The 21,580-nt window shown below is 59.5% G+C and overlaps 1 protein-coding gene and 1 long non-coding RNA gene across 10 annotated transcripts in view, besides 7 other annotated features; one reads left to right on the forward strand and one right to left on the reverse strand.

The window, feature by feature from the left end:
• LOC100506281 (uncharacterized) lies at window positions 305-2,125 on the forward strand. The gene is made up of 5 exons (NR_109777.1): window positions 305-324; window positions 415-647; window positions 742-919; window positions 1,013-1,228; window positions 1,912-2,125. It is a non-coding gene; the product is annotated as an uncharacterized LOC100506281 (long non-coding RNA).
• Window positions 2,103-21,580, reverse strand: part of BCAR1 (BCAR1 scaffold protein, Cas family member) — a 39,827-nt gene continuing 20,349 nt past the window's right edge. For 6 of the 9 annotated variants that reach the window (NM_001170715.3, NM_001170716.3, NM_001170718.3 and 3 more), the window contains 6 exons: window positions 16,392-17,012; window positions 11,105-11,266; window positions 10,804-10,920; window positions 8,811-9,908; window positions 7,768-7,857; window positions 2,103-3,945 (listed from right to left, as the gene is read on the reverse strand). In NM_001170715.3, the coding sequence (NP_001164186.1) occupies window positions 3,433-3,945; window positions 7,768-7,857; window positions 8,811-9,908; window positions 10,804-10,920; window positions 11,105-11,266; window positions 16,392-17,012 (2,601 nt within the window). In that variant the 3' untranslated portion in view covers window positions 2,103-3,432. Of the gene's footprint in view, window positions 3,946-7,767; window positions 7,858-8,810; window positions 9,909-10,749; window positions 10,921-11,104; window positions 11,267-12,012; window positions 12,583-16,391; window positions 17,013-21,580 lie in introns of those variants that run through there. The other 3 variants (NM_001170720.3, NM_001170717.3, NM_001170721.3) reach the window with 3 other exon arrangements.
• Window positions 7,206-7,831: an enhancer, noted in NCBI's record as "H3K4me1 hESC enhancer chr16:75267182-75267807 (GRCh37/hg19 assembly coordinates)". NCBI's record gives its function as "activates a minimal SCP1, AML or CMV promoter by ChIP-STARR-seq in primed H9 embryonic stem cells {active_cell/tissue: H9 hESC(primed)}" and the evidence as "EXISTENCE:reporter gene assay evidence [ECO:0000049][PMID:30033119]".
• Window positions 7,991-8,050: a silencer, noted in NCBI's record as "silent region_7711". NCBI's record gives its function as "represses an Ori minimal core promoter by ATAC-STARR-seq in GM12878 lymphoblastoid cells {active_cell/tissue: GM12878}" and the evidence as "EXISTENCE:reporter gene assay evidence [ECO:0000049][PMID:35858748]".
• Window positions 10,507-11,348: an enhancer, noted in NCBI's record as "H3K4me1 hESC enhancer chr16:75270483-75271324 (GRCh37/hg19 assembly coordinates)". NCBI's record gives its function as "activates a minimal SCP1, AML or CMV promoter by ChIP-STARR-seq in primed H9 embryonic stem cells {active_cell/tissue: H9 hESC(primed)}" and the evidence as "EXISTENCE:reporter gene assay evidence [ECO:0000049][PMID:30033119]".
• Window positions 12,191-13,032: an enhancer, noted in NCBI's record as "H3K27ac-H3K4me1 hESC enhancer chr16:75272167-75273008 (GRCh37/hg19 assembly coordinates)". NCBI's record gives its function as "activates a minimal SCP1, AML or CMV promoter by ChIP-STARR-seq in naive H9 embryonic stem cells {active_cell/tissue: H9 hESC(naive)}" and the evidence as "EXISTENCE:reporter gene assay evidence [ECO:0000049][PMID:30033119]".
• Window positions 14,715-15,556: an enhancer, noted in NCBI's record as "H3K4me1 hESC enhancer chr16:75274691-75275532 (GRCh37/hg19 assembly coordinates)". NCBI's record gives its function as "activates a minimal SCP1, AML or CMV promoter by ChIP-STARR-seq in primed H9 embryonic stem cells {active_cell/tissue: H9 hESC(primed)}" and the evidence as "EXISTENCE:reporter gene assay evidence [ECO:0000049][PMID:30033119]".
• Window positions 15,557-16,398: an enhancer, noted in NCBI's record as "H3K4me1 hESC enhancer chr16:75275533-75276374 (GRCh37/hg19 assembly coordinates)". NCBI's record gives its function as "activates a minimal SCP1, AML or CMV promoter by ChIP-STARR-seq in naive and primed H9 embryonic stem cells {active_cell/tissue: H9 hESC(naive and primed)}" and the evidence as "EXISTENCE:reporter gene assay evidence [ECO:0000049][PMID:30033119]".
• Window positions 18,549-18,658: an enhancer, noted in NCBI's record as "active region_11126". NCBI's record gives its function as "activates an Ori minimal core promoter by ATAC-STARR-seq in GM12878 lymphoblastoid cells {active_cell/tissue: GM12878}" and the evidence as "EXISTENCE:reporter gene assay evidence [ECO:0000049][PMID:35858748]".

Here is a 21,580-nt window from a genome sequence, read left to right on the forward strand (position 1 = left end):
TTGCCCACCCCTCACCCCCAGCCCCTGCACCCTCTGGACTTGGGCGGCCTCCTGGGTTTATGTGCCCCCGGGCCCCACACCCCAATCCACCCCAGCCACTGACTCAGAGTCCTCAAGAGCACAGGGACCCAAGGAGATACAGCCACCATGTCCCAGCACCCTGGGCTCAGAAGGGGACAGACACTCCCTTGGGTACACAACGGTCAGGGGAGGGGGCTGAGGGCACTGCAGTGGCACCTCAGGACACCATCAACTGCCGGCTGTTCTGGGGAGGATGCCAACTCCAGCTCCGAGGCCTGGCAGGTGTCCCTGCAGATCAGAGAGGTCCTGCCCATGTGGTGGGGGGGACCCTGGGTGGTGGGCAGGCTAGAGTTGGGGGGAAGTTTAAAACAATTTTTATTAATATATAAATAGAGACTTGGGTCTCACTATGCGGCCCGACTGGCCTTGAAGTTTGGCCTCAAGTGATCCTCCTGCCTCAGCCTCCCAAAGTGCTAGGATTACACAGCCCTCGCCCCTCGGGTCCCTTCTGCCCTTGTGGGAGTTGCCAGTCCTCCTATCCTCCCAGTACAAAGCTGGCTTCCACTTCTGCGGGGGCTACCACATCAGCGAGGACTGGGTGGTCACCGCTGCCCACCAGGGGTCAGGTGAGGCTTGAGCTTGAGGAGTTGGGGCCCACCAGGTGTCAGGGAATGACACTCATCCCCCTTCCCAACCCCAACTACACCCTGCAACCAACAGGAAAAGGGTCGGAAATGAACTGCAGGCTGGGGAACCAGCACCCCCATCCCCCGGCCACAGGCAGAGCCGCCTCTGCAGGTGACACCCACCCCAGGCCGTGCACCCCACCTCCACCCTCGCAGGCCACCCAGACGGCAGCTTGGGGAAACCTGGGAGGTCCCGTACCCTCACTGTGCAGGTGGGGAAATTTAGACCCTGAAAAAGGGATGCCCTGAGATCACCATGAGATTGAGGGGCAAGCAGGGCTCACCCTGACTGGCTCACTTCCCAGGCACCCCCATGAGCCCAGGCACCGCCTGCCACCCTCACTCTCCAGGAAGAGCCACCGCGTGGTGGCCGGGATCGTGTGGTGGCCAGGGCGTCTGACCTTGGCTCTCACCCGGAGGCCATCCAGGTGCTGAGGATGGCTAACGCTAAGGCCACACAGCCAGGGAGAGGAGGTGGCTCGTGACACCACGATGGGACACACCCACCTCTGGGAGAGGAGGTGAGTGGGCACAAGGGCCCCTGCCCAGCTGGCCTGGGCCTTGCCCTGCACCCTTGGCTGCCAGGGCCCATGGGCACCTGCCTCTCCCAGCTTTTTCCTTCCCAAGTAGTAAAGCTCCTGAAAGGACCCTGACAGGTGTCTTCGATGGTAAAGTTTTGCTCATTGTAGAAAAACGTGGACAGATAATCATTAAAAATCACCACGTGCCACGGGCTATTCTCCATCCGTCTCCATAGACTCACCTGTCCAGTCCCATTCCTGTTCCTTTCTCAATGTACCCCAGCACTATCCAGTCCACTCATGGAGGCCTGGGCTCCCCACTCCTCTCTGCCCTCCTTCCCTAGGCCTTACAAGGGCCAGGACTCAGGCTCACAGCTTCCTGAACCAGGCAGGCGAGGCTGCCTGGGGACTTCCTCCTCTTCCCAGCCCTCTGAGCTGGAAGCGTCAGCTCATGGGATGAATGGCGCCCCGGCATGGATGAAAGCCACTTGCCCCAGCTCCCTCCAGGAGTGTGCATGGCAGAGCTGGGGCTGCCACGTGAACCCAGGCCTCAGGACCCTGGCACAGCCCCTGCACCCACACTTGCCATTTCTCCGCACCCCTCCCTGGACTCCGCCAGGTTAGGGTCTCCCAGGCCCTGGCACCCAGTTCAGGCCTGGAGACACCTCCTCTCCTTCCTGCAGGGTGACTCCGACAGCCCTTGCCTGCCAGGATGGAGCCTGGACTCTGGAGGGCATCGTGTCCTGGAGCAGCACCAGCACCTCCTGTTGTCACCAGGCGTGGATGCCCGCATCATGAAATTCATGCCTGGGAAGGCGTGGAGGCCGAGACCACCCCCCCTACCCCGCATCTGTGTAAAACACAAATAAAGCCATTGAGAGCAACTGCATACACCTTTACCTCTGTGTCCTCACCAAGGCAGGTGGGCTGAGCATGATGTGGCTGAGGTGGGGGGACAGATGCTGTCACGGGGACAACCTCTGTAGAGGTAAGATCAGGAGGGCTTGCGAATCACCCAGCCCTACTCCCTTCTTCATACAGATGGGGAAACCAAGGCCCATGTTCATATGCAGAACGGTCAGGGCTGGGAGCAGCACCAGGGGTTCCAAGCACCCTGAAGCTTCCATCTGGGCTGCGGGCTGCTGGGTGGGGGAGCCACGAAGGGGGACACACTTGCCCAGGGCAAGGGTCTTCTCCAAGCCCCTCCCTCCCAACTCAGATGCCAGGTCCAGGTATAATTCCATGTGCACTTCGGGAGTTCCGCAGGCTGGGATGAGATTCTTTTAAGCAGAGCTCTGGATGCAGCCCCCAGCGGTGCCCTCGGCTCACAGGAACCCGTCCCCTTGTGCAGCTGTTCCTGCCCCAATCTGCCCTCACTCCAGATGCCAGCTGTGGGCATGGGCAGGTGCTCACTGTGGCAGCTCCCTAGGGTTGCAGGGGCCATGCCCAGGCTGTGCTTTCTGGGCCCCAGACCCTGCAGCTCTGAAACTGCCCCCTTTCTTGGGCCCAGGCTCTGCCCTGGCTCCCAGGGCCTTGTGGCCAGCTGCAGGCCTCACCCCGCCTCCAGGAGACACCCAGCCTCGGCGTTCCTTGGTTTTCTTCTAGAGAGACCCACTCCTCCTCTGCCCTCCCGGGAGATGCCACGCATGGCCCTTGCCCCCGGGTGCCTTCCCCAGAACCGTCACCCACCCCGGGCTGCTCTCATCTGCCACCCTCAGGCAGCTGCTCTTCCTTTTAAAAACTTTATTTAAATGGAGACTCTTAGTCAAATGATTGGAAAACCAATAACGAAAAATAGTTCTTCAGGTTCTTCTCCTGGTAAGGCGGAGGACACACCAAACTGCACTGGCCCTGTCAGGGGACACGGCACCCTCGTGGGACCAGGCTCAGCCCTCGGGGTGGCACGAGGTCCTGCAGGCTGCAGGACCCTCACACTCCAGCCCCGTCTGGTGACCCAACCCGGGCCCGTGGTGCATGCTGGGGAAGGCCACTGGCCGGCCCCTGGGCTTCGGCTCCTGAGGAGGCATGGCCCCACACCCTGCCCGGCCATAAATATATACAGATTCCTGGGCATCCAGGGCACCAGGACCGACGCAGAGCTGGGGTCCTGTCCCTAAGCCTGTGGCACAGCGACTCTTGACATGGGAGCCAGGGAGCTGGGACCGCCGCACCCCTCCCCTGCCTCCCTCCTGGGGTCACCACCCTCAGGCGGCTGCCAGCTGGCCTAGGACGCGGCGGAACTGCTGGGTGCTGTGGCCCAGCTCCTTGACCCTCTCCACCATGTCCTGGGCCGCGGAAGGCGATGGGTACTGCAAGGCAGCGGCCTTGGTGGTGGCCACGATGCCGCGCAGGAGGTCGCACAGCAGGTTGCTGTAGTGGGTCACCTGGCTGCGCACGTCAGCAGCCTTGGCCTGCCGTGACAGTGTGTCCCCGATGAACACCAGCTTGTGGGCGCTGAGGATGACGAACTTGCTGTGCGCCACAAAGATCTTGGGCGGCTGGTTGGTGGCCACGGCGGTAAAGAAGGCGTCCACGGCGTTGGTCAGTGTGGTCAGGTTGGCCTCACACTGCTCCAGGTAGAAGAGCAGCAGCTGCCGGTCCGAGGGCCCCAGGCCGCCTGTTCGCCCCGGGGCCAGGGGTTGGGCTGGCGTCCAGTTGGCCAGGTCGTGGTCTATGGGCCGTGACACCTCCTGTTCCAGTCGTTCAAACTGCTTCAGCTGGGGCAGGAGGGAAGCAGGAGCAGGGTTAGGCTCTCGGGTGAGTTGGAACTACAGGCCGAGACCTGGGCACCCTGGGCTGGGCTTCTCTAAAAGGGCCGCTACTCAGAGTGCATGGGACTGCAGGGAAACGGGCAGTCTCCTCTCCCGGGGACGGGACCAGGAACCATGGCAAGCCTTCTGGAGGTTGTTCAGTTACCCTTCCACCAGTCTCAAAAGGTCAGACTCCGTGCCCTGAACATTTTTGAAATGACAAGATGGACAACAGAAAAGTGGCTGCCTGGGGTCGGGGGGTCACCGTCCTGGCTTGGGTACTGTCCCACGTGACTTGAGACGTGGCACTGGGGAAAATGGCTGAAGGGCACTGGGGACCCCTCGACCCTATCTTTGCAACTTCCTGTGAATCTATAAATATTTCAAAATGGAAGGTTAAAAAAATTTTCCCCTTAGTTCAAAAGTAACATACACATTATAAAAAGATTCAAATATATCAAACAGAAAAAACGAAGATGTCACCTGTAATCCAATGCCCCTAAATAGAACCTCTGCTAAATCATCTTCCAGAACCACACACGAAAGTTAACATTTCCACTCCCGTGCCTAGGAGTCAGCTGAAGGGGACAATGTGTCCTCACTAGAGCCGCTCTGGCTCCGGAAGTGACCAGCCACACCCAGACTCAGGACTGGTAAGCTCTGTGCCACCCTAGGCGCAAAGATCCAAGCCACAATGAGCAAAACCAATAGGAAACCTCCCCTTCCTAACACTTAGAACCTCGCACTGTCCCCCTTAGGCAGCCACTTGGTGAAATCCTCCATCTCTCCGTTCCCTTAGCCAGTGAGATACATACTCCGCTTTTTTTCTTTGAAAAGCTCTGATGAGGCAGGGTGAGGTGGCTCATGCCTGTGATCCCAGCACTTTGGGAGGCTGAGGCAGGTGAATCACTTGAGTCTGGGAAGTCCAGGCTGCAGTGAGCCCTGACAGAGCACAGGCAACAAGCTTTGTGGGGTTTTTTTTTTTTCAATACTATTTTTATTTTTATAAAGAAGGAGTCTTGATCTGTCACCCAGGCTAATCTTTTTTTTTTTTTTTTTAAATGGAGTCTTGCTCTATCGCCCAGGCTGAAGTGAAGTGGCACGATCTCGGCTCGCTGCAACCTCTGCCTCCTGGGTTCAAGCGATTCTCCTGCTTCAGCTGGGATTACAGGCCTGCGCCACCACCCCTGGCTAATTTTTGTATTTTTGGTAAAGATGGGGTTTCACCATGTTGGCCAAGCTGGTCTCAAACTCCTGACCTCAGATGATCCTCCCGCCTCTGTCTCCCAAAGTGATGGGATTACAAGCGTGAGCCACTGCACCCAGCCCTTTTTATTCTTTGACAACTCTTCATAGTTATATAATATCCCACTGCATAAATGTCCATACTTTATTGAATCAATACTCTCCTATTAGACACTTTGTGGGTGGAGATTTCAGATTCTTCACCGATACAAAAATGGGGCAACAGATGTTCTCATCAGTAAGTCTTCATGGACTTGCATTTAACATGGACTTTATGTCCTTGGCCTTGGAATTCTACATCTTTAAAGTTCTTCACATATATTCTTGCCCTTTAATCCAGCTTCTAGCAAGTTATCTAAGTGATTCATCAGATACGTGCAAAGACTAGTATTCATCACAGCACTGTTCACAAAAGTAAAACTCTGGGAACAGCCTAAGTGTCCAACAGCAGGGGACTGGTGAAGTCAGTGCTGGAGGCACACAGAGGACGGACAAAGTACACGACCACTTCTGAAAACACGGCGATCCCAGAGTTCTCTCTCTAGACAGAGATATAGACCTATATATTGTTGATATTTCAGGAGGTTTTTTGTTTTTGAGACGGAGTTTCGCTCTTGTTGCCCAGGCTAGAGTGCAGTGGTGCGATCTCGGCTCACCGCAACCTCCGCCTCCTGGGTTCAAGCGATTCTCCTGCCTCAGCCTCCCAAGTAGCTGGGATTACAGGCATGTGCCACCATGCCCAGCTAATTGTTTTGTATTTTTAGTAGAGATGGGGTTTCTCCATGTTGGTCAGGCTGGTCTCGAACTCCCGACCTCAGGTGATCCGCCCGCCTCGGCACCCAGGAGGTTTTTAAAACAATTTTATTTTATTTTTTTTGAGACGGAATCTCACCCTGTCGCCCAGGCTGGAGTGCAGTGGCGCAATCTCGGCTCACTGCAAGCTCCGCCTCCTGGGTTCAAATGATTCTCCTGCCTCAGCTTCCCAAGTAGCTGGGACTACAGGCGTGTGCCACTATGCTGGCCAATTTTTGTATTTTTAGTAGAGATGGGGTTTTGCCATGTTGACCAGGCTGGTCTCAAACTCGTGACCTCAAGTGATCTGCCCGCCTTGGCCTCCCAATGTGCTGGGATTACAAGTGTGAGCCACTGTGCCTGGCCACAATTTGTATTAATGTATACAGACTTGGGTCTCACTACGTGGCCTGGCTGGTCTCAAACCCTTGGCCTCAAGTGATCCTCCTGCCTCAGCCTCCTAAAGTGTTAGGATTACAGGTGTGACATTTATTCTTTTCTTGGGTGTTTTCTTTAGTAGATTTAACAGGGGTGCAGGTGCAGTTTTGTTATGTGGGTACAATGTACCCATTAGGTAATTTCTCAGCCCCCACCCCCTGCCACCCTGCCACCGTTCTGAGATGTCAATGTCTAGCCTCTCCTGAGTGTCTCCATGTGCCAGGTACTTCCCAGGCATCTTCCACTTTTCAGTGATTCTCACCGAGCTCTCATGAGGCGGCTGCAGCCTCACTGCTGTGTGTCGTGGGTCTCAGGCCCCTGCCTCTGCCACCTCCTTGGTGCCCAGAAGGTAGGCGAGGGAGATTTGACGGGTGATATTTTTATGTTCACTTCGTGCTATCCTGTATTTTCACTTTTAAAATTATCTTCATAATCAGAATAAAGCTCCCTTAGTGTTTTTTTACATACCTCTTTCCTACCCTGAAGAACTGATTCAAAATATGAGGAAAATTCTATTAACATGTCTGCATATAAACACAGCAGTATATTTATAATAAGGGGCCAGATGTGGTGGCTCACACTATAATCCCAGCACTTTGGGAGGCCAAGGCAGGTGGATCGTTTGAGCCCAGGTGTTTGAGACCAGCCTGGGCAATGTGGTGAAACCTTTGTCTCTATAAAAAATATAAAAATCAGCCAGGTGTGGTGGCAGGCGCCTGTAATCCCAACTACTGGGGAGGCTGAGGCAGGAGAATCGCTTGAGCCCAGAAGGTTGAGGCTGCAGTGAGTTGAGATCGCATCACTGTACTCTAGCCTGTGTGACAGAACAAGATTCTGTGTCAAAAAAAAAAAAATACTAAGGAAGTGTGGGTACAATACAAACATTCAATAGACGCTAAGTGGTCTTTGAAAGAATCCACAAGAATGCTTAACGCCATGGCAGATGCTGGGACAGAAGAGTCGAATGCCCACAGGACACCATCCCGGCCATGCAGGGAGCAGCTTGGAGGAAGGAGCAGGGCAGAGCCAGCCCCGTGCTGAGCCTATGGCAGCTGTGAGGGGTCTATTTTCTGCTCTCACCCCACTCTCTAATTCCCTAAATGTCTCCAACAATTACTCTTGAAAACTTTAAAATAAACCAAGTGAAAAGATGAAGATGGTCAGGAGGCAGGGGGGTGGCAGGCCGGGCCCAGCTCTGAGCACTGTCAGACAACATGAGAAGCTGGGGACCCGGGGTCGGCCCTGCAGGGCAAGAGCTGGGGGCTCAGGGGGTCAGCGGGCAAAGCTGGGCCTTGCTCTGCTCCGGGGCCTCACCTGCTGCAACTCCAGCTGGCTCTTGCCCTGCCGCGTGATGCTGCCCTTTTCCAGCAGCTCCTTCTGGGTCTTCTCAAACTCCTCCTTCCCCTGGAGGGCAGAGACAGGGGCTGCGCTGAGGCCAGTTTTCTGAGCCAGAAGCACAGGCCAGCCCTGTGGCGGGCGCAGTGAGCTGAGTGGCCACCAGGTGGTGCTGCGTGTGCGCGCACACACACGCACACGTGGACGCACACACACACTAGCACACGTGGACACACACACACACACAAGCACACGTGAACACACACACAGACTGGCACGTGCAGGGGCAGGCAGACAGACACACACACACACACACACACACACACACACACACACTCCCCCAGGCTGGCATATGTGGGACACAGCCCCCCCAGGCTGGCACATGCGGGGACACACAGAGAAGGTGGCTTCCTAGGAAGCAACCCTGGCAGCCCCTTTCACCGCCTGCCAGCTCAGGAAGAGACTGGGCAGAGGGTGGGGTACCCGCAGAAAGTCCGCAAGCTCCACCCTGCCTTCCCAGGCTCCAACACCAGGAATCACACCCAATCCCTCCCCCTTGGCCTAAAGGCCTGGCCACCTGGTCCCTGCCCCTGGATGCCTCTCTGGCCCAGCTCAGCCTGGAATGTTCCTTACCAGGACTCCCACCCGGCTAGCACCCAGGCCTCTGCTCCAGGGGCCAGCCTGGGAGGAGCAGTCCCAGCCACCTCCCACCACCTCCTGCTGCTCCCCCACGCTCAGAGCATCCTTGTGTGTGTGCACATTTCTGCAGATCTGTCTCCCCACACAGAACAGCAGAGTCACCGCTGCTGGTCACCAGAGATACCAGCCCGAGGGACTCAACGAAGGGCTCGATGACATGGCCACCCTAGCACATGGGGCCAATGTGGGGTGAGGGAGGTCAAAGTGAGAGGAGGGTGCAGGGCCTTGCCAGGGACCAGGCCCCAGCTGAGAACAAATCTCCCCCTAAGCACAGGAGCCCAGCGTGGCAGAAGAGGAGCCGGGGCTGGGCAGGCGGCACCCACCTGTAGGTGGACGTAGTCATAGTCCTCCATCCAGCCCCCCTCGCTGTTCTCGTACTGCCCATCTGGCGAGTCCTGGGAGGTGAACTTAGGGGGTGAGGGCAGGGGTCGTGACTGGATGCTGCTGGTCTTGTCAGTGGGGTTGGGGTGCAGGGTGCCACCCCCCTCAGGCCCCGGGGCAGTGGCCTTGGTCCGTCTGAAGAGCAGTGAGGCATTGCCGTGCAGGAAGGAGGCCAGCTGCTTGGCGTCCTCGGGCACAGCCCGCGAGCAGGCCACCAGCCGGTCCAGGTCCTCAAGGGTGGCTCCAGAGCCTCCCCGGCCAGCGTCGAGGGCCTGACCATGTGCCACCAGCGTCTGGTGCACGTCCTCCATCTTCTGCAGCTGCCGGCTAAGCTTGGCATGCAGGGCACGGTCAGATGTGTGGGCAGCATTGCCCACCGCGCTGCGGGCAAACTCCAACAGCTCGTGGACGGCACTCTGGACAGCGGCCACAGCAGCCTGCAGGTCCTGCACCAGCGGCTCCTGTGGCTCAGAGGGGCTACGCCAGCTCCCAGTCGCACCGGCGCTGCCTGCCAGGTCCAGAAGGTGGGCAACGGTGGCGCTCACACCCTGCTGCAGCCGTGCCAGGGCCTCCACAGCAACTTCCAGCTCCAGGGGTTCCCGGCCCGGCCCTGCCACCTCCAAGGAGGACGCAGACTGGCTGCTGCGTGTGCTGCCGGTGCTGGAGGCCGACAGGCGCTTGCCCTCTGCCGGGGCTTCACGTTCAGCTGGGGGAGGCACCGCATACACACCACTGTCGACCACGCCACCATCAGCCACCTCAGGAGGAAGCACCCGTTCACGGGGCACATCGTACAGGGTGCCCGGGCCAGGCCGCCGCAAGCCAGGGGGCACGTCGTAGAGGTCAGGAGCCGGGGGCGGCACGTCATACACGTCCTCGGCCGGCGGGGAGTCTGGAGGGGGCGCAGCCAGTACCAGTGGGGTGCGGGCCGGGTCAAAGGGCTTGGCCTTGGCGAAGGCGGGGGGCACATCGTAGGTCTCCTCACGCAGCAGTGGGCCATCGGGCACATCCTTGCTCACCGATGGAGGAACGTCGTAGACCTGGGGGACAAGCGGTGGTCAAGACTGTCCATCTGTCCATCTGCCCACCCCAGGGACTGGGGGCAGCACCCAGCCACACACACACACACACGTACACACATACAGACACACACACAGAGGCACGCGCACACACACAGGCACACATACAAATGCAGAGGCACGCACACAGGCACACACACGCGCACACACACTCGCAGCCCTAGCACACACATCCTTCACAATTCCTATCCATGACAGCTCTGGGACGAGCCGGCTCTGGAGCCAGGTGACCACCCCTGTGCCTGAAGGTGGGAGAGCTTCCTCCCAAAGAATTGCATGTGTTAATTCACATAATTGTGTCACTGCAGACACTCACTGAAAGGTTAGCTGTGATACTGCCACTGCCACCACCATCATATCATGATTTCATCACCATCACCGCCGCTGCCACCTCATCACCACCATCACTGTTACCACCCAGCACCACCACCACGTGTGAACTTTCTACTCTGCAGCAGGTGTGCGACTGAGCTCTGTGTGTATTATCAGGGGACCAAATTCTGGTTTGCCCAGGACAGTGCTGGTTTGTCCCTGATGCCCCCACATAATTACTAGTCCCCCCTTCACTCTTGGAAGTATCCCAGGTGAGATGACACATCCCGTGGTCACCTTGCGGATACCCTCTCAGGAGCTCATGGAGAAGGCCTCGCAACAGGCGGTTCTGCCGACAAAGAACCTGAGGCTCAGAAGACAGCTTGATTTCCTCATCTGTCAACCATCCAGAACCAGGGTCTGGAGCCAGTCTCTTCCTGCCCGCCACCCCCAGCCCTGCAGACACTGGTCAGCACCCCTGTGCACACACCCAGACACCCCACAGCCTCAGCCTGGCCCTGGCATTGCCCTGGCATTTGCTCACTGCGTGGTGGTTGGACGGTGGCAGGCCCTTCTCCACACTGGGGGGCACGTCATACACCTCCAGCAACGGGTCTCGGCCATTGGGACCCTTGACAGCCATGGGGGGTGTGTCATACACCTGGGGCAGAAACAGTGCAGGGTTAACGGCGCCAGGGCCACTTGGGGGAATAGGAAAGGTGGGAACCCCGCAGCACCGTCCCCAGGCCTGGCCGGGGCTGAGAAGATGCAGCTCTCGGCCCAGGGCCAAGCAGAGGCACAGACTTGCCGCCCTGCCCTCCCACCGCTGCGCACCCCACACCTACCTCCTGGCCATACTGGCTGGGAAGCAGCCCCCGAACCGGGGGCACATCATAGATGTCCTGTGGCCCCGGGGCCAGCAGGTGTCGCGGGATGTCGTACTCGTCCTGCTCCGGCTGGGCGGCCTCGTATACATAGCCCTGCCCCACGCGGGTGGGCACCACCACCTGGGGGCAGAGAGCCGACTTCACTGCTGCCCTCAAACCAGCCCTTAGGGAGGCTCCACTCACACCTGGGAGCCACGTCCTTTTAGGAGGTGGGCAGGGCACACCAGGTGGAAGGGACGGGGCTCCCCAAGGATGCCAGTTCTCACCCCCTCTGCACCATCTGACCTTCCTCTAGCAGAACGCAGTGCCAGGTACGGCAAGAACTCTGGGTTTTATTCAGAGCTGCCTCGTCCTGGGCCAGGACACCAACGTCTCTACAGCCTGCTGACCCAGAAGGCTCCACAGAGGAGCATGGGTATGAGCTGATGACACCGGTGGGGTGAGGGGCTGAGGCCCTGGCTCTGGAGGGCACTACCCACAGGCAAGGAACCCCCCGTTACTGGGGCGCCTAGCCCCACAGGACAAGAGGCCACGTCGGAGGCCTGGGAGTCTGCTGCCCACACCACCTAGCTGTAGCCTCCTCAGAAGGGTTGGCCCAGCAGGGGACTGCATCCGGCCCAGGACCAGATAGAGCCTAGCACCCCCTGCCCCACAGCACAGCATGGGGAGACTCTGGAGGACAGGGCCAGAGGGGCAGGTTGGGTGTGTGCTGGGGGGCGCAGCAGCTGGGACCAAGGCCCCCTCCCTGCCGCGCCTGCCCCGGGGGAGCTGCCTGCAGCAGGTAAGATCCCCAGCGACCTGAAAGGATGAGGCCTAGTGGGGGAAGTGGGTCCAGGGCCAGCCCTCCCCTCCCCAGGTGCTCTTACCATGACCCAGAGCCCAGGGAAGCCAAGGCCCGCACAGTGGGTGAAGAGGCAGGCAGCACAATGGCCTGCCCAGGGCCACAGGACCCCTCACCAGCACCAGCCTGAAGCGGGTAGGGGCCATGCCAGGCAGCCTCCTTCCCTGAAGGTCTCCCTGCCTTGGGGAGGTCAAGGCCTCCCTGGTGGGATTCTCCAGCCCCCGGGCACACTGCGCCCACACGCCTCCACCACCAGGCTCCCTGTTCAGCTCTCTCCACTGAAAGACCTTTTGTTCCTTCATCAAAGGGGATGTCTGGGACAGGGTTGACTCAGGGCCTCCCCGCACATCCCCCAGGGCAGCAGCGCCAAAGCAGCCCCTCCCCCGGGCCCAGTGCCCCTGAACCCCTAGAGGCCCTCCCAATGCAGGCAGGCAGCCAGCCCTGCTTGCTGAGGGTGCTGTGAGGGGGGCGCTGAGCATGGGGGTGGCAGAGGCGCCAGCACCCCCCAGCAGCCGCAGGCCTGGCAGAGCCCCCCGCAGCGCAGCAGAACTGGGCCCACTAGGTCTCCAGCACGCCTGGTAGCAGAGTCCCGGCTGGGGGCCTCCGTGGGGTGTCCCCGCCCCCTTCCAGTGCGTCTGGGAGTGGATTTGGCGGCTGCCTCTCCAGACTCATCTCCCTCCACGCGCCCCAGACTTGAGTCTCCTCCAGAACTATTTTTAGATGCAGGGACCTGCCAACAGCGGGGCAGGCGGGGCGGAGGGACGTGGCAGGTTGGCTGGGCCTCGAGGCACGGCCTGAGGCTTCTCCAGGCCTCCCAGCCTCCCAAAGGCAGGTGGGGACCCAGCCTCAAGGCTCAGCCAGGACCCAGCACCAGCAGGAGGGATGAGCATCCTCCAAAAGCACCCTGCCGGTGGCCATCCCAACCTCACGCGGTGAGGCCCAGGGGTGCAGCTGGACCCAGGCCTGCCTCCCCAGGCAAATGGCCGCCTGCCACTCTTGGAGCTGAGTCGGGTGGCAGTAGGCAGCCACAGTGACCAAATGTTTCTGTTAGAAAAACAGAGCAACGCAGCCACCAGGGGGAAAAGCTCTTTAGGGGAATGACTCAGCCCCACTGCTAATCACAGGCCACCCTGCTGCACACCTGAGACCCCACTAGCAGGCCGTGGAGGTCCCCCGGGGGTTAGGGGAACACAGCCAGAGCCCAGGAGGAGAGAACAGAGGCACAGTCACTGACATAAGACCCACACGGTCTCTGACACACATGCCTCATACAATGCAGAGAAAACACAGCACAGGCCCACTGCCAGGTGCACGCACAGAACCCAGGCAGCCCCAGGGCCAGGGTGCCGCCCCTCTCCTCCCCTACTATCAGGCATCAAGCGGGGGGACAAGCGAACTCAGGAATACATCCCAGCCTCCCGGTAAGGGCCCCAGAGGCAGGTGTCAGGTCGGAGGAAGGGGACAAAGTGGGCCCCCGCCCTGGAGCTCAGTGGCTGGTCTCCCCCTTCTGCAAAATGGGTGTCGCCCCTGACCTGGGTTGGCTCCCGGCTCTGGCACCCCCAGGTCCCAATCCAGGAGCCTCGTTTCCTCCTTGGGAAATGGAGCACCACAGGAGCGCTGCGACCACGGCCACCAGGACACACCCCAGCATGAGGGGCTCACCCGACCTGGGTCATGGTGGCCTGAGGGGCCACCACCATAGCCCGCTCCCCTCCCTCCCCAGCTCCAGGCACCCCAGCCTGAGGTCCCAGCACAGGGGAGCCTGGGGCAAGATGAAGCTTCTAGGGCGAGGAGGGTGAAACACAGGCCCGACAGGACCACGTGCACGCCTGACCTCACGCCATGGCTGTCTCCTTAGACACTGACCAGGGGCACTACCTGAGCGACCTCCCACAGACGCCTTCCCCCGGGGGTCCCATCTGACCATGAAAGAGCCTCTGCCCTCAGATTCCTACAGCCCACACCCGGCCCAAAGAGTCTCGGTGCCAGTGTGGCCCTCACCTCTCCCTCAGCCATACGGGCCACCAGGCTCCCACCTTAGCAACCACTGGACCCTGCTCCAGGGCCCAGGGTTCTGACCCTCCTGGCCACCATCCTTGTCACTCACCCTCTTGGCTTCCTGAGAGCCAGTGTCCCTCCCGCCCACGTGAAGTCCTGGCAAGGGCTCCTTCTCAGCCCAGCCAACCACTACCCTGGAACTGGGAGACTCAGTTTCCCAGGCATTTGAGGGGCAGGCCTGAGGCTTGGAGGGGAGCACCTGGAGGTTCAGACACAGATGTCCCGCAGCCAGGTGTTACCGCCGTGCCACCGTAATGAAGGCATGAGCAATCGGAAACTGCCCAGGGCCCGCCCCAGCAGAGGGGGCAACCCAGCAAAGTCCAAGGCGGCTCAGGGACAAGCTTTAAGAATTCAACAAAATGCTTTTGATATCTAATGTTGGATTTACAACTTTGAAATGCAAAACTGCATGTATAAATCTGTGAAACACAGGGCAGATACTAGACAAAATATGCCAGAATTTCCCAGTGATTACCGCGATTGGAAAATTTCATCTCCAGACTTTCCCATACATTATGCATTTTCTACAGCAAACAAGCATTGCTTTTGTGATCATAAAATACAAGCAGACACAATCAAGACTGGGGGAGGTTTCCTGGGGGAGAGCAGCCAGGCCCAGGACACAGGGCTCTCCTTCCTGGGCCATCAGCCAGGTCAGGGCCCTTGGGGCACAGGTCTGGGCAGCTCTACCAGTGGGCATGGGCAGAGAAGGACCCAGCTGGCTGAGCCCCTGATGCAATTGAGAGCAGGCCCCCTGCCGGAGACGGAGACAGAACAGCTGCCAAAACACAGCCTCGAGGCCGGGCTCTGTCTGGGGGTCTCGCTGCTGCTCCCCAGCCCACAGGGCTTCCAGCCGCACCAGGACAAGCTTCACTGCAAAGGCGGGAGAGGAGGGGTGGGGATGTGCCTGACCTTGGGGCATGTGCAGTGTGGACTGTGTGTGCGTGTGCATACGCACATACATTTGTACGTTTGTGGGATACTGGTGGGTGCACACGCTTTGTATGTGTGGACGTACACGTGTCTGTGTGTGGGGTGAGTATGCACGTGTGTTTACACATATGGGGTTTGGGTGTGTGCGTGTTCATGCATATGATGTGCGCATGTGTGGGCGTATACGTGTGTCCATTTATGGGGTATGGGATGCAGATATGTGCATGTATTCACGCACATTCATGTAGCGCATGTGTGTGTTCGTGCATATGGTGTGTGCATGGGTGTTCGTATCTGTGGGGTACAGGCATCATGCACGTGTGTTCATCTGTGTGGGGTGTGGGTATACCTGGACTGTGGCCTGAGGCTCCCCTACAGGACACTGCTCCCTGCCGCCTCCCCAGGGGATAACAGGACCCTGCTCCTCTTGCTAAAGCCAGTTTGGGAGCACCCCCACCCAGGCACCCCACGCCAGCCAGGCTCGCCTCTGACCAGATGGCTGAAGGAGCAGGTAGAGCAGGAAGTGGGAGCCAGTGACCCAGGTTCCCCTGGTGGCCAGGCTTGGTGGCCCATGTCCATGGAGTCCCCCACCCGCCAACGACCTCCGGCCATGCCTCCTGGGTACCAGGCCACCCATGGGCGGGGGTGGGGGTAACTCCCAGCTGACTCGCTGCCCAGCTGGCACCAATGAGGTCTCCACCTCAGCCCTGGGCTGAGTGTCTAGTGCTGACTCCTTCCTACAGGCAGGTGAGCTTGGGAGGCAGGGGCCCTGTGGACTTGGGAAGCGGGCTCAGGGTCTGGAGGCCAGAGGTCTTGTCCCCAGGCCCAGCATCCCATCAGCAAGAGCCCAGGAGGCTCTCAGGGCAGTCCTCCTCTAGCAATCTCAGGGGCAGCGTCCTCCCAGGAGTCACATCCAGATCACCATACGCACCCGCTGGCCCCTAGCATGTTCCATAAGTGGAGAGGGGTTGGCCTGTGGAGGCAGGGGCGGCCAGAAGATGTGCCGGAACCCCATCTAGAGGCTGACACGTAAACCCAGATGGCACAGGGGAGCCTGAGCATGAAGTGGCTGGCCTCTCCCTTGCGGGGGCCCAGCAACTGCCGACCCCATGTGCCAAGCCCCGCCTGCCCACTGGAACGCCTCAACAGGCTGCTCCCTGTGGTTGGTGACACCACCACTCGGGTCGGCTTGGCTGAGGCCAGCGGAGCATCTCCCCTCTGGGTCCATTCACATCCATCTTCCCCGGACAAATGAACACCCCCCAAACACTCACTTCCCACTTTGACCCCAGACCAAACACACAGCCACTCCTGGAATGCCGGTGATTGAGGGTGGCTGGACCCTTCTGTGCCCACAAACCAGGGCCTGGGCTATACCTGTGTGGCTGCACAACTGTGCCAGGACAGCCTTACCTTTGCCGGGGGCTTCGTGCCCTCCCAGCTGCGTGTGTCCATGGACGGGGGGACCTGGTAGATGTCATGCCCCATCCCGGCAGAAGGTGGCACCTGGTAAATATCCTGGGCAGGGCCTCCAGGCCCTGGGGGCACCTGGTACAGGTCTGTGGCCGGGCTGGGAAACGGGTGATGGGGTGTCTGCTTCGAGAAGGTGGATGTCTGCTTGGCTGGGGGAGACTGGAACTGAGGGCTGGGACCCGGGACTTGGTAGAGGCCTTGCTGAGCCTTGCTGGGAGTGGGCACCAGGTAGACGCTGTCTGGCTGGGGCTGGTAGGTGTTGGGGAGCATGGGCGTGTACTGGGAGGCCGGAGGCGCTGGGGCATGGAGGCCAGGCTGAGGCTGGGCCGGGGTGGCGGGAGGGCCGGGGCCAGGCCCTGCTGGCTTCTTATCATACATGCCCACCAAGATCTTGAGGCGGTTCCCAGGCACGATGCCCTGGCGCCCATGCAGCGAGCAGAGCCACCAGCCGTCCAGGCCCTGCGTGTCCTGCTCCAGCACCGTCATGATGTCACCCTTGCGGAAGGAGAGCTCATCCGGGGACTCGGCCACATTGTCATAGAGCGCTTTGGCCAGCACGTTCTGGGGAGAGAGGACACAGGTGTGAGAACAGAAGGATGTGCATGGGGCGTCAGGGGCTCCCCAGCTCCTGCCCTGCTCTGGGGAGGTGCCCAGCTTTGATACTAGGAAAAGAACTCAGTGGAGTTTGGCGAGATCATTGTGCCTTTGCCTCCACTGTCCCCACCTGTTCCCCAGCAGAAAGGCCCAGCTGATCCTGGCCTTTCTTTCAACTGCACCTGTATAGCACCTCAAAATCCTCTTGACCACTGTCACCACCAAAACTCCAGGGATGACCCTCAAGATATCCCTAAAAGCCCCACCCAAGGCCACTCTGCTACCTGGACCAACACAAGGAGAGCGGCAGTAATCACGACAAAGCTGCCAAGTTAAAACAAATAGCAAATGGTTCTCTCTCGAGGTGCACGAAAATAATCTGACAAAAAGAACAGCTTCTTAGGATAAAAAAATGAACAACAATAAGACAGAGCTTCCTTAACAAAGTCTATCTACCCCAAATCCAAAAAGTCAGTAATTAATTTAGAAACTTCAAACACCTTCCCCAAGGCTGGGAAAGAAACAGGAGGCACACCCTCCCTGTCCTGGCCCCGTCGCCCTCAGCAAACCCTTGCAGAGCCGGGTACGTGCTCCATGTGGCCCAGGAGCCAAGCAGTCCGAGAGGGACTTGGAGGAGGCTGTGGGATCAGAGGCATGAGTGCCGTGGCGAGGGCAGGGGCGGAGCCTCGCTGGGACACTAGAGCCCAGGCAGGGAGGCCTCGCAGTTTCCCACCACACACTCATGCATCCTCGCCCCTGCCGCTGCTGCCCCATCGAGGTGCCAGGCGCAGGATGGGCCCAGAGAGACAGAGGATCCCTGGCTGGAGGGTGTGGGCGGTTGCAGCAAAAGGCAGGTGTGAGGGAGGCACGGGGTGAGACAAGGCCAGGGCTGCGGCCCCTCCTAGGGCAGCAGAGGGCTGCATGGGTTCCACAGGGGCCCCAGACTTCACACACAGGGAAGCCGGGTGTGAGAACAGTGCCAGGCTGGCTGGACAGTGACCGGCACTGGGCTCCAGCCACCCCACCAGCCTGGCCTCAGCTCTGGGCTGCCCTGCAAGGTCCCTCCTCAGAGTCTCCTGGCGTCTTAGATGTGCAGCCTGGTCGAGACTCTGACTCGGAAATGGGACCTGGGTTCTGGCCAGCCAGTAGCTGTGTGACCATCCCCACTTGGGCCCAAGTCCCACTTTCTGGACTCCATCTGCAAGGAGTGAAACAAGGAAGAAAGGGCCACGCCCCCTTGGGCAGAAACAGGAAGCAGGAGCCTGTGCCTTGGGGCAGAGGAGTGGGGGTGAGGCCTCTTTCAAGTCCCTAGGGCCCACCCTCCTCCCCTATATGAGCAGGGGCTGGACAGTGCCCCTCTGAGCGCCATCTCCCTGGCCGGCATCAGAGGGCGATGGCATACCAGGCAGCGGCCTGGGTAGGCAGTAGTTGCCCCAGGTCCCAGGATCAGACATTCAGACCCCATGGTTCACTTGCCCTGGGTGGACATCATCAGCAGGGAGCCCATTTCTCCAGAGCAGCTAGGAGCCTCCAGTCCCTAAAAGGGCCAGAGGCTGGAGTGTGGAGAGCCAGGAGGAGCAAGGCCCAAGGGAGGGGCCAGGGGGCAGCTAGGAGAGGGCAGGCCCAGGTGGAGTCATATTGGAGCCAAGGTGAGCACAAGGGCAGAGGCCCTGGATGGCTGCAACACTGTCCACACCATGATTACAACAAAATGAAAAAGGCACTCAAGTGAAAAGCACATCTCAAGAAAATGTCCTGTGAAACGTAAAGACAAGAGAGGGTCAGGAAGACACCAGAGATGTCTGAGACAATGGAGATAGTTTCTCTTCCTGTTTTTCAGGAATGAGTGTTTCTTGCTTTGGGGCTGAAAAACTACACAAAAAGAAAAAAAAAGAAAACGGTGGACTATGTCCCAGGCTCTGAGGCAGGACGGGACAGGCAGTGCGGCAGGTCTAGGGGCCAGAGCCCCACAGAGGAGCGGGAGGGCGGGGGCTGTCCTGCAGCCCACCGGGCTCAGGGCCCCCATCCCAGGCGGCCAGCAAGACAAGCATTTCCCAAATATGGTCTGCAGCCTGCCTCTGGGAATCACAGCCCATCGGGGGCGGGCCACCCTTCCCCAGTGACCCTACACACCACAGAGCTGCCCCTCCGGGTCCCCCAGCCCCTGCCCTGGTGACCACAGGAAGTGCCAGCAGAGTGAGTCACAGGAAAATTCCCCTCCAGCCAAGTCAGAGAAGGTGGGGGTTTAGACAGAGGGGACCGCCCCGCGAAGGCCCCTCACCTCCTAGGAGGGTGGCCCAGGAAAGGCTGGCAGAGGCCCCATCAGGCAGGGCCAGGCACTCAGAGAGGCTGAGGGAGCACAGGCAGGGAGGCCGGGGGCTCTGTGGAGGGAAGGGCCCTGCAGGGAGGGAAAGCCCGGCCCAGGTGAGCGGCTGGGGCCTCTGGCCTCACAGCCCAGCCCTGCCAGGCATGAGCTCACTGATCGGCCACAGCCCAGTCTGGGGCCGCTGAAGCCAGGCTGGGAAGCATCTCACAGGCTGGGCACGTGGCACCAGGCGCCTGGCACCAGGAGCTTCCCCGCCTGCGTCAGCTGGTGTGCCCCCGCCCAGCCTGAGCTCTGGACGCTGCTGGTACACAACCGACCACTCCAGCTGGCCAGGGCCCCCGCCTCTCCGGGCCTCTCTGCCTCCTGTTCTGTTCCCTAAGGACATGCACTCCTTCTTCCTCACTAGGCAGACTCAGACCTGGGCCCGGCTGTGGGACTTTGGGCAAATCCCTTAGCCTCTCTGAGCATCTAGATCCTCTCTGCTGGATGACAGCCCTCATTTCATAGGATTGTTCTTTTTTTTTTTTTTTTTTTTTTTTTTTTTGAGACTGGGTTCTGCTCTATTGCCCAGTAGCGCGATCATGGCTCTCACTGCAACAACCTCCCAGGCTCAAGTGATCCTCCCACCTCAGCCACCTCCCACCTTAGCCTCCCAAGTAGCTAGGACTACAGGCATACACCACCACGCCCAGCTAATTTTGTGTAGAGATGGGTTCTCCTTATGTTGCCCAGGGTGGTCTCAAACTCTTGGGCTCAAGTGATCCTCCAGCTTCGGACTCCCAAAGTGCTGGGATTACAGGCGTGAGCCACTGTGCCCAGCGCGCATTGTTCTTTTAACAAAAGATTCGCCTGGCCCCTGCTTTGGCTGGGCTCCGCAGAGATAGCGCAGGCCTAGTGGACAAGGCCTCTGTCTGAACCGGGCCTATACTGTAGTGGGACAGAAAGACACCAAACAATTTGCTTTCACGGGGAAGAAAGTGGGGTGCCAAAAATAATGTGGGAGAAGGCCTTTGCATACAGGGTCAGAGACGGCCTCCCCAAAGAGATGACATTCCACAGGATTCCTGTCTGAGAAGAGCATGGGGCAGAGGAAGGGCCTCAGCCAGGGGGCTGGAGCAGGGAGGCAGGCTGTGACCCTGGAGCGGCAAAAGGACTCACACCGCAGACTCCATGGATGATGCGTGCACAGCTCAGTGAACGTCATCCGCACAACCAGCTTCCCCACGGCCAGATAAGCCCAGACGAGCAAAGCACACACCACCCCAAGCATTCCTGCTCTGGACATGCTCGCAGGCCCCCCAGCAGCCTCCCCCGGAACCCCTGCCATGCTTCAAACTGGAGGAGAGGCCAGCCTCCCCAAGCCTACTTTCCTGGCCTCCCGCACTGCTGGGCCTAGGGCATGACCCAAGCTGGGCCAGTCAGGTGCTCCTGCCCAAGTTTTCAAGGGACACAACTGTGACCTCAGAAGGGGTGCAAAGCCAGTCCAGGTGGACACTGTCAGCCACCTGTGTCCAAGGCGCAGTGGAGGCTGCTGCCTGACTCACTCATTCTCTGGTACCCTACTCCTGCCGCACCCTACTCCCACTTCAGAACATGCTGGACTATCATCCCCTCCAGGAAGGCTCCTCCTGGGACACCTTCTCCCCTCTGCCCCCACCTCACAGTACTGCCCAGCATATCTTGACATAGCCCAATTCACACCCCTGCACCCCAGGCACCCAGGACAGGAGGACAAGTCTACCTCCTTCAGAAGGGTAACTCCAGGGCACGTGCACCAGAGGAACCCAGGAAGGCCTTTGGGGGCTTGCTCATCCCAAAGGGCAGGGCCAGAGGAGGAGAGCCCCAGCCTGATGCCAGCACTCCCTAAACAATATCCCAGCTGTTGCACATAGGACTGACAGGACTGCCCCACACGCTCTGCCTGGCTCTGAGAATGGCCCTCATTGTGTCCCCGGGGCCCGCCTGGGCACCATATCCACCCGGGCTGGGCAGGCAGGCCCTGAGAAGCACAGCGGCTGGGACCAGGGCTGCGGGTGACACACGTCAGGGAGAGCTGCAGCCGTCGGATGGGTGTTGGGGTCTCCTCATTGGCTCTGCCAGCTGCCTTGGGAGCCCTGGACGTGCTGTGGCTGTCCCCAAACTCCTTCTCTGGGTCAGGCGGAAGCTGGTGTCGGCGAGTGGTAAGGGGAGATGCTGCTGCTCCAAGGAG

Source organism: Homo sapiens, chromosome 16, assembly GCF_000001405.40.
Source record: "Homo sapiens chromosome 16, GRCh38.p14 Primary Assembly".
In the NCBI taxonomy this organism is placed as follows: Eukaryota; Metazoa; Chordata; class Mammalia; order Primates; family Hominidae; genus Homo; species Homo sapiens.